General features: G+C 39.5%; 1 long non-coding RNA gene across 2 annotated transcripts in view, besides 2 other annotated features; it reads right to left on the bottom strand.

Annotated features, from left to right (window-relative positions):
• The window catches only part of LOC105369850 (uncharacterized), a 55,530-nt gene that overhangs the window by 18,722 nt on the left and 21,559 nt on the right, over positions 1-15,249 (bottom strand). Inside the window, exon 4 of one of the 2 annotated variants that reach the window (NR_188080.1) lies at positions 4,878-6,329. The exons of the other annotated variant lie outside the window; for it this stretch is intronic. This is a non-coding gene — a long non-coding RNA (uncharacterized LOC105369850). Of the gene's footprint in view, positions 1-4,877; positions 6,330-15,249 lie in introns of those variants that run through there. 2 annotated transcript variants of the gene reach the window in all.
• Positions 7,355-7,555: a silencer, noted in NCBI's record as "peak1844 fragment used in MPRA reporter construct". NCBI's record gives its function as "represses an SCP1 promoter by STARR-seq MPRAs in K562 erythroleukemia cells {active_cell/tissue: K562}" and the evidence as "EXISTENCE:reporter gene assay evidence [ECO:0000049][PMID:32103011]".
• Positions 12,505-12,705: a silencer, noted in NCBI's record as "peak1843 fragment used in MPRA reporter construct". NCBI's record gives its function as "represses an SCP1 promoter by STARR-seq MPRAs in K562 erythroleukemia cells {active_cell/tissue: K562}" and the evidence as "EXISTENCE:reporter gene assay evidence [ECO:0000049][PMID:32103011]".

Raw genomic sequence — 15,249 nt, 5'->3', positions numbered from 1 at the left:
TCACACCATTACTTCTGCTTCTGCTCAAATATCTCCAGTAGCTCCCTATTGCTTACCAAAATAAACTTCAAGCATTCAACATACTTTATGAGATGACGCTGCAATGCCTTTCTGGCTTTGTCTTTAATTACTCACCGTGTGCATTCTCCTTGAGCTTCCCTAAGCAATCTCCCTACTATTGTTGTTGTTTTTACCTCCATAAATCTGGTATTATTTATTATATTTTGAAAAACTTAAACTCATTTAACCTGTCCAAATAATGTCACCCTTTAAGGCCAAAAGCAAATGCTATCTCTCTGGGAAATGACATAGTAGGTCTGCAGAAAATGTTTTTTTTAAAATAAATAAATAATGTACGAATAAAAGAATAATGAATGAAATTAAGTTCTATCCTGAAGGGCCTGTTTGGTAACAAAAGATCAAGAATTAAAATAGAATCATTAAAAGATTTGTGTGAGATTTGATCAAGTAGATACAAAAAGAGGCAAAGAATCTTTACTTTGATGACAAGAATAAATGGTTAGACATGGGAAACGGAACTAGAACCGAGAATGGAATATGATGGTCATGATATCAGCAAGCAGAAAAGGCCAATGAGAGAGGCGTCAAAGCCAGGATTGGTGAAAACAGCACAGACTCTTCTCAGAGGGGCAAATTGTGTGAAAAGTGGATTGCTACCACATAGGACTCAGATTTTTCTCTTGACCATGGTTCATAAAATGTGGTCTGCAGACCCCAGGGAATTTCCCAGATCCTTTCAAGTATATACAAGATCAAAACTATTTTTACAATAATACCAAGACATTACTTGGCTTTCTCAGTGAGTTGACATTTGCACTATGAAACAAAGGCAATGGTGGGTAAAATTGTTGGTGCTTTAACAGAAATTAAGGCAGTGGTACCAAAAGTGTACTAGTAGACATTGAATTATTTACTGCTATATCCCAGAAAAGCAAGACAGTTTCATTTAATATTATTCTTGATAAAATAGCATGATTAATTTTATTAAATCTCAACCCTTGATTATGTATGTTTTAAAATTCTGTGAGACAAAATGCATAATGTATTCCTGTTGCACACCAAAGTTCTAAGGTTATCTCAAAGAAAATGATTTTTGTGCTTGAGTCGTGAGTTAAGCCACTATTTTACATGGAAAATTATCTTTACTTGAAAGAATGACAGACAGATAAACTATAGTTATTCAGACTTAGGTATGTGTCAGAACTTTTCTCAAAAATAAGTGATCCCGTCACTTCAAGGAAAACAACTCACAGCGTTTGTTGCCAATGATAACATTTGAGCTTTCAAACAAAATTTAGAATTTTTTAAAACTCATATCTACCTCTATGAATTTGGCAGCTTCTTGATTCTTCAAAAATTTTCTGATGAGATCAGTGGTGACAATAACACATGTGATTTTTTTGGGGTATTTCAACATGAAATCTGTCAGCACTTGGAAGATATGCATAACTCAATGAAGCACTATTTTCCAAATGACTAAATGCATGATGTTGCAAAATAGCGCATGGAATCTTAATCACAGAAAGTTCATCTCAATCTGTTGGTGCTAACTCCAAATGGACTGCTGCTACACAACCACCCTACTTAAGGGTATTCTTGAAGGGAAATTCTCTCAACTGCAGATCTGTAAGCAGTGTACCTGATCAACTACTTTCTATAAAGGAAGAAAAGGCCTGATGTATAGATGTACATGGACCTTTGAATGATGGCAATTGGCTTGGTTGGTTAGTCAGACAGGCCTAGAGGAGAAAGACTGGAAGATGGGAAATAAAAATATCCAAGGAATAAATGTATGGGTAGACCACTGGAGTAGGCTCAAAGTGTGCAGAAATTTGTGTGCTACCTCAATGCCTATCAGAGAGCCTATACTGCAGAGAAAGCACTAAACAACCAAGTAGACAGGACTTGTCTAGTAGAAATCATTCAGTCTCTCTTCTCAGCAATATCTGTGTTTACACAATGGGCCTATGATAATTACATGGCCATGGTGGCAGGGATAAAGGCTGTGAATGATCCAATAGCATGAACTCCCTCTCTCCTGGGCCACTGCTGCTTGTCCAGTCTATTAGCAGCAAAGATAAATGCTAAGTCTTCATTATGGCACCATCCCTTAAGAAGGCTAGTCAACCATTCAGTGGGAAATTGATTATATTGGACTCTTTCAACCCTGGAGGGGATAGCAAATTGTACTTATCAGAATTGATACCTATTATGGGTATGCATTTTTCTTCACTGTTGTAGGTACCTTTGTCAGCACCACCCACCGTACAAGAACTTACTGAATGCCTGATTTACTGGCATTGAATTCTACCTATTTTTTTATATCAAAGAGCCCATTTTATGATAAAATAGGTGTAATAATGGGGCATAAACATGAAATTGGCCATCCTAATGGAACAATAAAATAATCTAATAAAGACTTAGCCAAGGAACCCATGCAGGACTAACACTTCAAAAGGATAGGGTATTGTTCTCAAGAATAAGATAGGTGCATTAAATGTATAGCTGATGGCTGGGCACAGTGGCTCACGCCTGTAATTCTAGCACTTTGGGAGGCCAAGGCGGGCAGATCACCTGAGGTCAGGAGTTTGAGACCAGCCTGGCCAACATGGTGAAACCTTTTCTCTACTAAAAATACAAAAATTAGCTGGGTGCGGTGGCGTGTGCTTGTAATCCCAGCTACCCAGGAGGCTGAGGCAGGAGAATCGCTGGAACCCGGGAGGTGTAGGCTGCAGTGAGCTGAGATTGCACCACTGCACTCCGGCCTAAGTGACAGAGTGAGACTCCATCTCAAAAAAAAAAAAAAAAAAAAAAAAAGTATAGCTGATTTCTAGTGGTGTGTTTCCAATAGCCAGAATATACAGGTCCAGAAACCAAAGGGTGGTTGTAGGAATGGCTCTCACCAACACTCCCATTGACCCCTTTGCAGAATTTGGGCTTCCTATCTGTGCATTCTTAGGCTTTTCAGGATTAGAAGCACTTGTTTGGTATGAAGGGGACTTCTATGAGGGCACACATGAAGTCTCCATTGAACTGGAAACTATAACTATCACATGATCATTTTAGATCACTTGTGTCAGTGGACCATCAATGAAAACACTTACTATCTTGGTGGTGATAACTGACCTTGATTACCCATATGAAATAGAGTTGCTGCTACCCAATGGAGACAGGAAGTCCGATGCATGGAACACATAGGATTCACTGAGTTATTTCTTCGTGCTCCATGTCTGGTGATAAGTATAAATGGGTAATTGTAATAATTAAGACTCACTGAAGAGCAAGAATTAGAGTTCAGACCCTTCAGAGATGATGATCTGGTTGCCCCCACCCAGTCAAGCAACACAGACTCCCTGAAATGGTAGCCAGGATGAGACAAACTAGAATAATCTTTTTCACATCCTTTCAGCCTACCTTTTATACCAACTATTGCTATGGCAACCAGTTTTGTGCAACTGTACCACATATTTATCATTTCAAAACCTGTGCTGCTCTGATGATATGGCATGGATGCCAATGAGAACCCACTCTGCGCTTAGGCATGTACAACCTGGAAGAGTAAAGAAGTTAACACTCTCTGGGACAATCTTTGACTGCACTTGTAATCTATTGCTGGATAACAAGTTACCAAATCTAGCAGCCTAAAACAATAACATGTATTATATCCCAGTTTCTGTGGTCAAGAGTACAGACACAGCTTATTTGGATTTTCTGCTTCCAGGTCTCTCCAGGCTAGAGTCAATGCATCAGGTGGGCTGTGTTCTCATTGGGAAGCTCATCTGCTCCCAAGCTCATATGGTTTGCCGAACGAATTTATTTCATTGAGGATATAGGACTGAAAGCTTCAGTGTGCTGGTTGGCTGTCAGCTGGAGGATGCCATTAGCTCCTAGAGTCCATTCAAGTTGCCTGCCATGTGGTCTACTCCATAGGCAGCAACATAGCAGTTTGCTTCTTCATGGCCAGCAGAAGAGTCTACTAGCAATATGAAGTCTTACATAACATAATGTTATCATAGGAATGCCATTCTGTCACCTTTGCCATATTCTATAAGTTAGATGCTTCACAGATTCCTCCCATATTCATGGGATGTAATTAACAGGGGCATTGATATCAGAAAGTGGGGGTCATTGGAGAATCAGCCTAGGTTCTGTCTGCCAGTCTTTCCTCAGGCCCTCCCATATGAAATATATGGTTTCTCCCCTTCCAAGGTTCCTGTATTAGTCCGTTTTCACACTGCTGATAAAGACATACCTGAGACTGGGAAGAAAAAGAGGTTTAATTGGACTTACATGGCTGGGGAGGCCTCAGAATCATGCTGAGAGGTGAAAGGTACTTCTTACATGGCGGCGGCAAGAGAAAATGAAGAAGATGCAGAAGTGGAAACCCCTGATAAAACCCCTGATAAAACCATCAGATATCGTGAGACTTATTTGCTACCATGAGAACAGTATGGGGGAACCTCCCCCATAATTCAAATTATCTCCCACCAGGGCCCCTCCCACAACCCATGGGAATTGTGGGAGTACAATTCAAGATGAGATTTGGGTGGGGACACAGAGACAAACCATATCAGTTCCCAAGAGTTTCATTCATTATAGCATCAGCTCAAATTCTAAAATTTCATCATGTGAATCAAGTCCAGGTGCAGATGAGCCTCCTACGTATAACCTGTTAAGTAAAGCTCCTGGACACAATTATTCTCTAACTATGGACCTCTGAAACCAAGGAAATGAGTTATCTGCCTCCAACACACCCAACATACAATGGTGGGACAGACACAGGATAATAGCTATAGACATTCCAGTTTAAAAATAGGGGAAATGGGTAGTAAAAAGGAGTCACTAGTCTATAGCAGTTTTGAAATACAACTGGATTTATTGGAAGTTCCTTAATTAAGTTTCTAGGCTTGGGAATGATTCTTCATGGCTCTTGGCTCTGCTTTCTGGGTTCTTGGTTCCACCATCTGAGTCATTCTTCCTTTTTCATGGAAGGTAGCATGTGTTTGCAGATGAGTAGTTTTATCAGCCTGCTTTCTGCCAGTAAAATTTTGGAGGTCTGACAGCCTCTTTTCATTTTCTAGTCTTTCTGTCTGTCTTATTCCAAGTTGGCACTGTTTCTGCAGAAATAATTTTCTCAAGAATGTTGTGGTTCTTTCTGTATTTCAGTGGCATTCACTCTTATCAGACAAAGGCCACATCTACAGATTGTTTCAAAAATAATTCCATCTCCTTTAAGCTTCCTAGAGGCTCAATAGTGTGATTGAGAGGATCTGAGGCATACCCTTAGATCTTTTCAAATCTAAGGGCCGTATCTTGAAATACCCCTGAGTACTCTGACCTTTGATCTTTTGGGGGCTTTAAAAAAGATTATAGAGTAACTTCAAGTGCATTTTCTCTAGAGTAGGCTTTTCTGACAGTGCCCAAAAGCCATCTCCAACTGTTAATATTTTTTGCCATCTGGGGAAGATGAGGATTTTTTAAATTATCAAGTCCTGATTCCTTTTTGCTTAATAGTTCTTCTCTCAATTTGTCTCTTTTCTTGAATTTTCCTGTAAGTAGCAAGAAGAAACCAGTTGTCCCCTTCAACACTTTGCTTGGAAATCTCCTTAACTATATAACCAAATTCATCCATTTACAAGTTCTGCTTTCAACGTAATTGCAAGAAATAATTTCACTAAGCTTTACGCCAGTACATAACAAGGATCTCCCTTCTTCCAGTTTCCTATAGCATGTTCCTTACTTCCTTCTGAGTCCTCAACAGCAGTCTTCAATATCCACATTTCTACTGAGAGTTTGTTCGCAGTGATTTGGGATTTGTCTATCATACTTTTCAAGCATTCTTCTAGTCTCTGTCCACTGATCAGTTTCAAAGCCACAGACATATTTTTACATATTTATTACAGTAGCATTCTACCTCTAGGCACCAAAATCTCTATTAGTTTTCCAATTCGATGTAACAAATTAACACAAGTTGAACACATTAAAATAACACACATTTACTATCTCTCTTTCTGTAGGTCAGGAGTCCAGATACACCTTAGTTGGGTTTTCTACTTTGGGGTCTCTCCAGGCTACAGTGAAGGTGTTGGTTGGACCATGTTCCCATCTGAAAGCCTGAAGAAAGAAGAATCTTCTTCCAAACTCTCTCAAGTTGTTGGGAGAATTCATTTCCTTACAGTCACAGGACTGAGAGCTTCAAGATTTTGTTTTGTTTTGTTTCTGTTGGCTCTCAGCTTCTACAAGCCACCTCTGAGTTCTTTGCCACATGGTCCTCTCCGATAGGCAGTTCATAACATGACAACTTGTTTCTTCAAGACCAGCAGGAAAGTGAGAGAGTGAGTCGGCTATCAAGACAGATTCTTACATAATATAACATAATCATGGGAGTGATATCCCATCACATTTGTCATATATTGTAATGCATGTATTACATTACATCATGGGAGTAACATCCTATCACCTTTGCCTTATTCTTCTGGCTGGAAGCAGTTCACAAGTTCTACCCAGTCTTACGGTGAGGGGCATAAAGAAGGTCATTAATACCAGAAGGCAGAGATCATTGGGGGTTACCTTAGGATATGTCTGCCACATTGGGGGAAGGCAGACAATTCTAGGTAGCTATTCAAAGATCCAGAGAAATGAGCCTGAGTTACCTACAACAATGTTCAGATTGATTAATGTATTCTTGAGTTAGCTTTCCTTCCTTTCATGTCTTAATTTTCCTAGCCCCTCACTCCTATTCACTGGGATCTCTTCCCAAAATCAACTATCCGCACAGAAGTTATTGTCTCAGACTCCGATTTCAGGGAAGAAGCCAGGCTAAGATAGCAGAAGAGAATAAACTTGTATAAATGGTATGCTACAAGTTAGGAGGGATGGTAGGCAGGAGGTTCTCCTCCTCAGAAATTAATTACCCCCTACCCATATATTTCTCTACACTATAATGAGGCAGTGCTAAAAGTTCATGGAAGAAAGCATGCTAAAGGTGCTTTCTCTATGCAAATCTCAAGATACAGCATCTTAACTCTCTCTTTCATAAAATTAGAATTGGCCCAAGATACTAAATTGGGCTAGGCTGGCAAGTGGGGTTCAAGTAGTTTCCATTGTAGGGAGAGAAATTTAATAAGTGTAAACCTGGCAGAGCTCAAAAAAGAGCAACAGAAGTACTTGAATACAAGGGATAAAACTATTAAAGAACATTTTTCACAAATAAGCCTTGTTTCTTCAATTATCTCTATTTCCACCATGCCTGCCATCTCAAGTGATGACTATCACTCTGCTCTGGCCAAGTTATATGTCAAATCACAAAGGTGAAATGAGATGACTGTCAGGTCATATGTTTGAGGGGGAGGAATGGAATTACAAAGAAAGGGATACCATGACACTTGGAGAAAGAGTTATGAGGAAAGAAAACCAATGGGGTGCTTAAGAAAAGGGCTTGAGTCAGAGTCAGCTGGATACCATGTCTGACACAGTGAACTATGATAATCCTCACAAAACATTTCTAAAATGATTGCCTTAGGATTGCACTGGCTGCATGGCCAGGGTTCTCATTTCTCATTTCCTTTTCTTAGAATTAAGGTGATGCTCTTTGAAATGTCTAAAGATAGATGACTACCATTGGTAGTCAACCCTGAGGTTTTTTATGTACAGGCCCAGCACTGAGCTAAGTGTTTTGTATGCAATTGCACAACATCTTTATGAGGATAGATGCTATTATTATCTGTTTCTCTAAGCATGGGGAAACTGTTAACCTCAGGGTGTTGAGTAACTTGCCCAACATCATACAGCTAGTAAATAACAGAGCCAAGACCCAAGACCTAGGCCCGCATTTGCTGGCTTAAAAGTTTAAGCTTTTTGCTTTTTTTTTTTTTTTCCAGTGGTGCTATCTAAGCTTACTGCAACCTCTGTCTCCCAGGTTCAAGCAATTATTCTGCCTCAGCCTCCCAAGTAGTTGAGATTGCAGGCATGCACCCCCATGCCTGGCTAATTTTTAAATTTTTAGTAGAGATGGGGTCTCACCATGTTGGCCAGGCTGGTCTCGAACTCCTGAACTCAGGTGATCCATCTGCCTCAGTCTCCCAAAGTGCTGGGATTACAGGTGTGAGCCACCGTGCCTGGCCCCAAGGTTAAGCTTTTAACCACTGCATCACACTGCACCTCAGGTTTCAAGATAGGGAAACTCAATTTTTAAAAATATTTATAAAGCATTTACATTTTTTCCATATCTCATTTTATAAAGTGTCTTAGCTAGTAAGCTTAAAAATTATTTTCTTCGGCCAGGCATGGTGGCTCATGCCTGTAATCGCAGCACTTTGGGAGGCCGAGGCTAGCAGATCACCTGAGGTCAGGAGTTTGAGACCAGCCTGGCCAACATGATGAAACCCCATCTCTACTAAAAATACAAAATTAGCCAGGCATGTTGGCACGTGCCTGTAATCCCAGCTACTTGGGAGGCTGAGGCAGGAGAGTCACTTGAATCTGGGAGGCAGAGGTTGCAGTGAGCTGAGATCACGCCATTGCACTCCAGCCTGGACAAAAAGAGCGAAACTCTGTTTCAAAACAAAAATAAATAAATAAAATAAAATAATTTTCTTATCAAGAAAATGCAAATTAATCTGCAGTGACAGAGAGTGGATCAGTGGTAACTTGAGGATGGGAAAGTCCCAAGAGTGGCAGGAAGAAGAAATTACAAAATAGCATGAAGAAACTTTCGGGAATGAAAATCAAAATTTGTAAACATATTTATCACTGCCAAAAGTTAAAGAGTCTTGCTCAAGATTAGCCTGAGAGTTAGTAGCAGAGACAGGATAAAAATATAGTTTTTAAGCTTCTTGAACAAGTGTTTTTTTCCTCTCAATTTGGTAAATTATTTCCATATGGTTTTAAAAAGGATATGAAGAGACATAAAATATGACATGAGTATTATAGAAAGAAAATTGTGTTTAGGAATTTTGGGCAGCACTATTCACAATAGCAAAGACATGGAATCAGTCTAAATGCCCATCAATGGTAGACTGAATAAAGAAAATGTGGTACATAGACACCATGGAATACTATGCAGCCATAAAAAAGAATGAGATCATGTCTTTTGTGGGAACATGGATTGAGCTGGAGGCCATTAGCCTTACCAAACTAACACAGGAACAGAAAACCAAATACTGCATGTTCTCACTTATAAGTGAGAGCTAAATGATGAGAACTCATGGACACAAACAGGGGAAAAACAGACACTGGGGCCTACTTGAGGGTGGAGGGTGAGAGAAGAGAGAGGAGCAGAAAAAATAACTTCTGGGTACTAGGCTTAGTACCAGGGTAACGAAATAATCTGTAAAACAAACCCCCATGACATGAGTTTACCTATATAACAAACGTGCACATGTACTCCTCAACCTAAAACAAAAGTTAAAGAAGAAAGGGAGCCTGTGAAGCCCCTCAGTCACTCCTCCTACATCTCATCCTGTTCTCCCACTGATCTAGCTTAAAGTCTTCCTGCTGGAACATTTCACCCTATACCAGGTGGTGGGGAAAAAAATTTTTTTTATTAACTTACGTATCTCAATTGAGCATTGGAAGTCTATTGTGAATTCATCTGATGAAAAAGTTGAATGCATCTCTTCAGAAGTTTATCATTATCATCTGCAATCTACTGAGAACTTTTTAAAAAATGAATCCTGCAATTGTATGGCCAGCAGGGGGCAACTAAATACTTCCCAAAACAGCATCTTGTATAAGAGAACAAGTTAAAATTGGAGACTGTTAGCATTCTTAGCTGTGTAGGAGAGCTGACTTCCTTCTAAAATGATAATTAACACCTAGACACATTCTCACAATACTGAATTTGTGAAGATAATTGGAACAGTTTCCTAAGTGGACAGATTATAAAACCACATTCTGGGGCCTGTATGTGGCAGATTTGTTTTGGCTGTTTTTTCAGTCCACAAGGTTCCTTGCAAAAATTTATGTATTTTATGATGAATAGCTTTGTAAAACTTCTTGTATTATAGAAAATATAATGAATCTTGACTTATTTCTGTAGGTTATTTTAGAATTCTGCTATTTTTACTTAACATTCAAAGATAAAAGTAAATAGGGATTGCAGAGGATCTTGTTCTTAAAGTATAATAAAGAATCATTTCTTAGCCCTGTTTTATAGAACTAATTTTTAAGCTTGTTATATTAGTTAGGGTTGTCCAGAGAAACCAAACCAACAGAATGTGTATACATATAGATATTATAGATATAGATGTTTATTTTAAGGAATTGGCACACATGATTGTGGGGACTCAGTTTCTGCTTGAGTCCAAAGGCAACCTGCTGGCAGAATTCCTTCCTTCTCTGGGGAGGTCAGTCTTTGATTTATGAAGGCCTTCAACCGATTGATGAGGCCCGTCCATATTATGGAAAGTAATCTGCTTTACTTAAAATCCACTGGTTAAAATGTTAATCTCATCCAAAAACACCTTCACCAAAACATCCAGAATAACGTTTAACCAAATATCTGGGTACCACAGCCCAGCCAAGTTGTCAAATAAAATAACCATCACAGTTGCCTATTTCTTTACATCACAGTCTCAAAGTCGTAGGAGATCTATATGGTGAAATAGCTCAACCCTCCTCCAGATGCAGCTGCAATGCCTGGCAAAGAGAAAGCATTTAGCAAATATATGCTGATTTGAATTGAACTGAATGTATATGAATTGAATTAAATATCCCTAGTGGTGGCTAGGTTCTGCCAGGCTTCCAGTGCGGTGCTGGGAGGTAATGGAAGATAGAAGTTAGGCACAGGCTCTGGAGTCAGATAGGTCCATATGCTGAGGCTCCCCTACTTACCTTATATGTACCTTTGGATGAATAACTTAATTTTTCTAAGCCTACATTTCTTCACCTATATAAAAACAACAGTCATAATAGCTATTTATGCTACATATTGCTTTGTTAATCAATATTTACTTCTCTTTCCTTTCTGGCCACTCAGTGGATTGACTGTATTCCTCAGCGACCCTACAACTGAATGGAGCCATGTGACTTGGTCTGGCCAGTGAAAACTGTAGATTTTACGTGTGTCACCTTCAGGATGTGGCAGTAAAAGGTCGATATGAAATTTTTTTCTTTCCCGACTGTGGCAACCATGGAAAAAGATTCATCTTAAGATGGCAGCACCACAAGGTTGAAGCTGCCTGGATTATCACGTTGTTGCATGGAAGACAGTTGCCTGGAGAGTTGCCTGCAGCCAGAGCTAACTTTTTGTTAAACATTTGCTTTTTCTCCCAACTGCAGCACAACCTAGACTATTCTCATGTATTGTCTCACAGAGTTGTTTTGAGGATTCAATCAGATATTGTTTCGCAGGAAACTGCTCATTTGACAAGCCATAAGCACTCAAATGTTATAATTATGATATTTCTTTGCCTTGATCATTATAGCAATTCAAAACTCAAACAATAAAATTAGAGTACCAGGTAACTTTTGTTTAAAGTATTAGTATTCTAACTCTTTAAACTTCTCCTCTGAACACTGCCTTGCACACAGTAGGCATTCATAAATAAACAAAAAAAATTTTTTTTTTTTGAGACAGGGTCTCACTCTGTCACCCAGGCTTTAACATGGTGCTACAACCAAGGCTCACTTTAGCCTTGACCTCCTGGGCTCAAGCAATCCTCCTGTGTCGGACTCCCAAGATACTGGGATTACAGACATAAGCTGCCACACTTGGCTGCTGGGATATTTTATTCCCTTATTGTTAGACTGGCAAGATTTAAGTTTATTTCTTTTGCTAGACCTAGGTTCTCATAAAACAACTACTTTTGGTTAGAGTTACCTATTAAAAAATGTATTACTATCCTGTCATTAATGGGGCTTAGGCAGTGATAGCTGCTCACACATCTTAACTCTTCCCTGAATTCAGACCCAATTGATAGGAAGCCAAAAAGATAAAATACCAACTTCTCGGCTTGGCATGGTGGCTCATGACTATAAGCCCAGCACTTCAGAAGGCCGAGGTGGGAGAGTTGCTTGAGTCCAGGAGTTCAAGATCAGCCTAGCATAGGGAGACTCCATCTCTACAAAATGTTTGAAAAATTAGCCAGGCATGTGGCATATGTCTGTAGTCCCAGCTACTTGGGAGACTGAGGTAGGAGGATCGCTTGAGCCAAGGAGGTAGAGGCTGCAGTGAGCAGTGATATTATGCCATTGCACTCCAGCCTGGGTGACAGAGTGAGACTTCATTTCAAAAAAGCTTCCTAAGATAAAGCTGATTGGATGTATTATAATATACAACCATGACCAGGTTTTTCAATATTTCTTTTTTTTTTTTTTAGACGGAGTCTCACTCTGTCACCCAGGCTGGAGTGCAGTGGCGTGATCTCAGCTCACTGCAACCTCTGCCTCCTGGGTTCAAGCAATTCTCCTGCCTCAGCCTCCCGAGTAGCTGGGATTACAGGCACCTGCCACCATGCCCAGCTAATTTTTGTATTTTTGGTAGAGACGGGGTTTCACCATGTTGGCCAAGCTGGTCAAATACTTCCTAAGTCCAAATGGGTGATGACTCGCCACAGGAGAATTTGAGTCTGCACGATGGATAGACTTGTGTAGAATCACTGTTTCTGCTTGGTGAGATCAACAGTAGAAAGAATGAGAGTTAGGCCTCAGGCCTGTTCTAGAAGACAAGCATAGGCCCTAATCCGTGTGTTTTTAGTTTATGACATATATTGAGGAACTGAGCAGAATATAATTTCTTGTGGGTGGGAAGATTTGAAAAAGATGGCAAGAAATGGCTTGGGTTTTATGTTTTTCTCCCCAAATCACCAATTAAATACAAAACTCCTTCCACTTGGGGAAAGTGGCAGAAAGAAAGATGAAATTTCCTCTTGACTCTATAGTTCTGAAAGAAACATATTTCTATTTTAAGAGCCAGGTAGGAAAACTGTGAGGCAGAGAAGATGGTTCCTTTTAATATAAACAAATAAATTATTGTTCTTGTGGTCTGAATGTTTATGTTCCCCCAAAATTCAAATGTTGAACTCCTCACCTCCAAAATGATGGTATTGGGAGGCGGGGCATTTGGGATATTATTAGATTATAGGGTTATTTCCCTCATTAATAAGATTACTGCCATTATAAAATGGGCCTGAGAGAGAACCCTCAGCCCTTCCACCGTGTGAGGTTAGAATGAGAAGACAGCTGTCTATGAGGAAGTAGACCCTTACCAGACACTGCATCTGCCAGTATCGTATCTTAAACTTCTTAGCCTCTAGAGCTTTGAAAAATAAATCTCTGTTTTTTATAAGCCACTCACACTATGGTATTTTGTTATAGCAGCATGAATGGACTAAGATACTTGTGATATTCTTGTAAGTTTTTATGTTCTGAAGTTACCTTATAATTATATAAGAAATAGGGTTTTTATGATATACTAAAAATCAATTAATTAGTACAAAAATTAAAAGTATCAAGAAGAAGTCACATATGCTAACATTTTTAGTGATAATTTTTCCTAACTTCCTCCCTACTTTTTGCTGGTAATAAAGTTTTCCTAATTTTTACTCATAATAAACTAATCCACAGGAAACATTCAATAGCAAATCATGTATAAATACTTAGCATATACTATGTGCAAAATACTTTGCCAAATGAGGGGATACAGACATTTAAAAAAATCAGTCCTGATCTTACAGTCTAGGGAAAGAAACAGATTTCAAAAAATATATTTACAATATGGTGTGTTAAGCCATTCACAGTCCAATGAATGGACTATGACAAATTACCTGCTTAATATCCATTTTCTGCTTCTTCCTTAGTAACAGAAATCCAATTCAAGTTTGGATGACAACGTAAACTTAAAAATATCCTGTCTCTCTTGCAGCTAAGAGTGACCTTACAGATAGCACATTTCTTTTTAAAGAAGTAGAAATCTCCCAGGGATTTTGGAATAAGTTGTGTCAATTCAAGTTTCTTGATTTAGGCACTATCCTCCCTTTTATATTTAAAACATGTTTTGTGGCAAGAACACTTAACATGAGATCTACTCTCCTTTTTTTGAGACAGAGTCTCACTCTGTCACCCAGGCTGGAGTGCAGTGGCACGATCTCGGATCACTGCAACCTCTGCCTCCCAGGTTCAAGCAATTTTCCTGCCTCAGCCTCCCACATAGCTGGGACTACAAGCGCCTGCCACCACGCCCAGCTAATTATTGTGTTTTTAGTAGAGACGGGGTTTCACCATGTTGGTCAGCATGGTCTTGAACTCCTGACCTCGTGATCCACTAGCCTCGGCCTCCCAAAGTGCTGGGATTACAGGCATGAGCCACCGCGCCTGGCAGATTTACTCTTTTAACAAATTTTTTTTTTTTTTTTTTAGACGGAGTCTCGCTCTGTCACCCAGGCTGGAGTGCAGTGGCACAATCTCAGCTCACTGCAACCTCTGCCTCCCAGGTTCAAGAGATTCTCCTGCCTCAGCCTCCCAAGTAGCTGGGACTACAGGCACCTGGCATTTTTTTTGTATTTTTTAGTAGAGACGGGGTTTCACTGTGTTAGCCAGGATGGTCTCGATCTCCTAACCTCGTGATCTGCCCGCCTCAGCCTCCCAAAGTGCTGGGATTACAGGCGTGAGCCACTACACCTGGACTCTCTTAACAAATTTTTAAGAAAATAATACATTATTGAAATTGTACAATGTTGCACAGCAGATCTCTAGAGCTTATTTACCTTGCTTCACTGAAACTTTATGCCCATTAATTAGTAACTTCCGATTTCCTCCTTCCCCCAGCCCTTGGAAACTACCATTTCACTCATTGATTCTATGAATTTGATTATTTTAGATATCTCATAAAAGTGGAACCATGCAGTATTTATCTTCCTGTGACTAGCTTATTTCACTTAGCATGATGTCCTCAAGGTTCATCCATGTTGTCTCATATTGCAGAAATTCTTCTTTTTAAAGGCTGAATAGTATTCTATTGTATGTATTTGCCCACTTCATCCATTCATCTGTCAATGAACATTGAGTTTATTTCCACATTTTGGTTATTATGAATAGTGCTGCAATGAAAATAGGAGTACTAATATCTCTTTAAGATCTTGGTTCCAATTCTTTTGGACAAAGACCTAGAAGGGAGATTGCTGGATAAATGGTAGTTCTACTTTAAGTTTTTTGAGGAACATCCAGACTATTGTTTATTTTGCTTTTGTTGCCTGTGCATTTGGTGTCATATCCATAATATCACTGCCA

Source organism: Homo sapiens, chromosome 12 (assembly GCF_000001405.40).
Source record: "Homo sapiens chromosome 12, GRCh38.p14 Primary Assembly".
Lineage (NCBI taxonomy): Eukaryota > Metazoa > Chordata > Mammalia > Primates > Hominidae > Homo > Homo sapiens.
The sequence above is the reverse complement of the archived record's forward strand: the minus strand, read 5'-3'. Positions and strand labels throughout refer to the sequence as shown.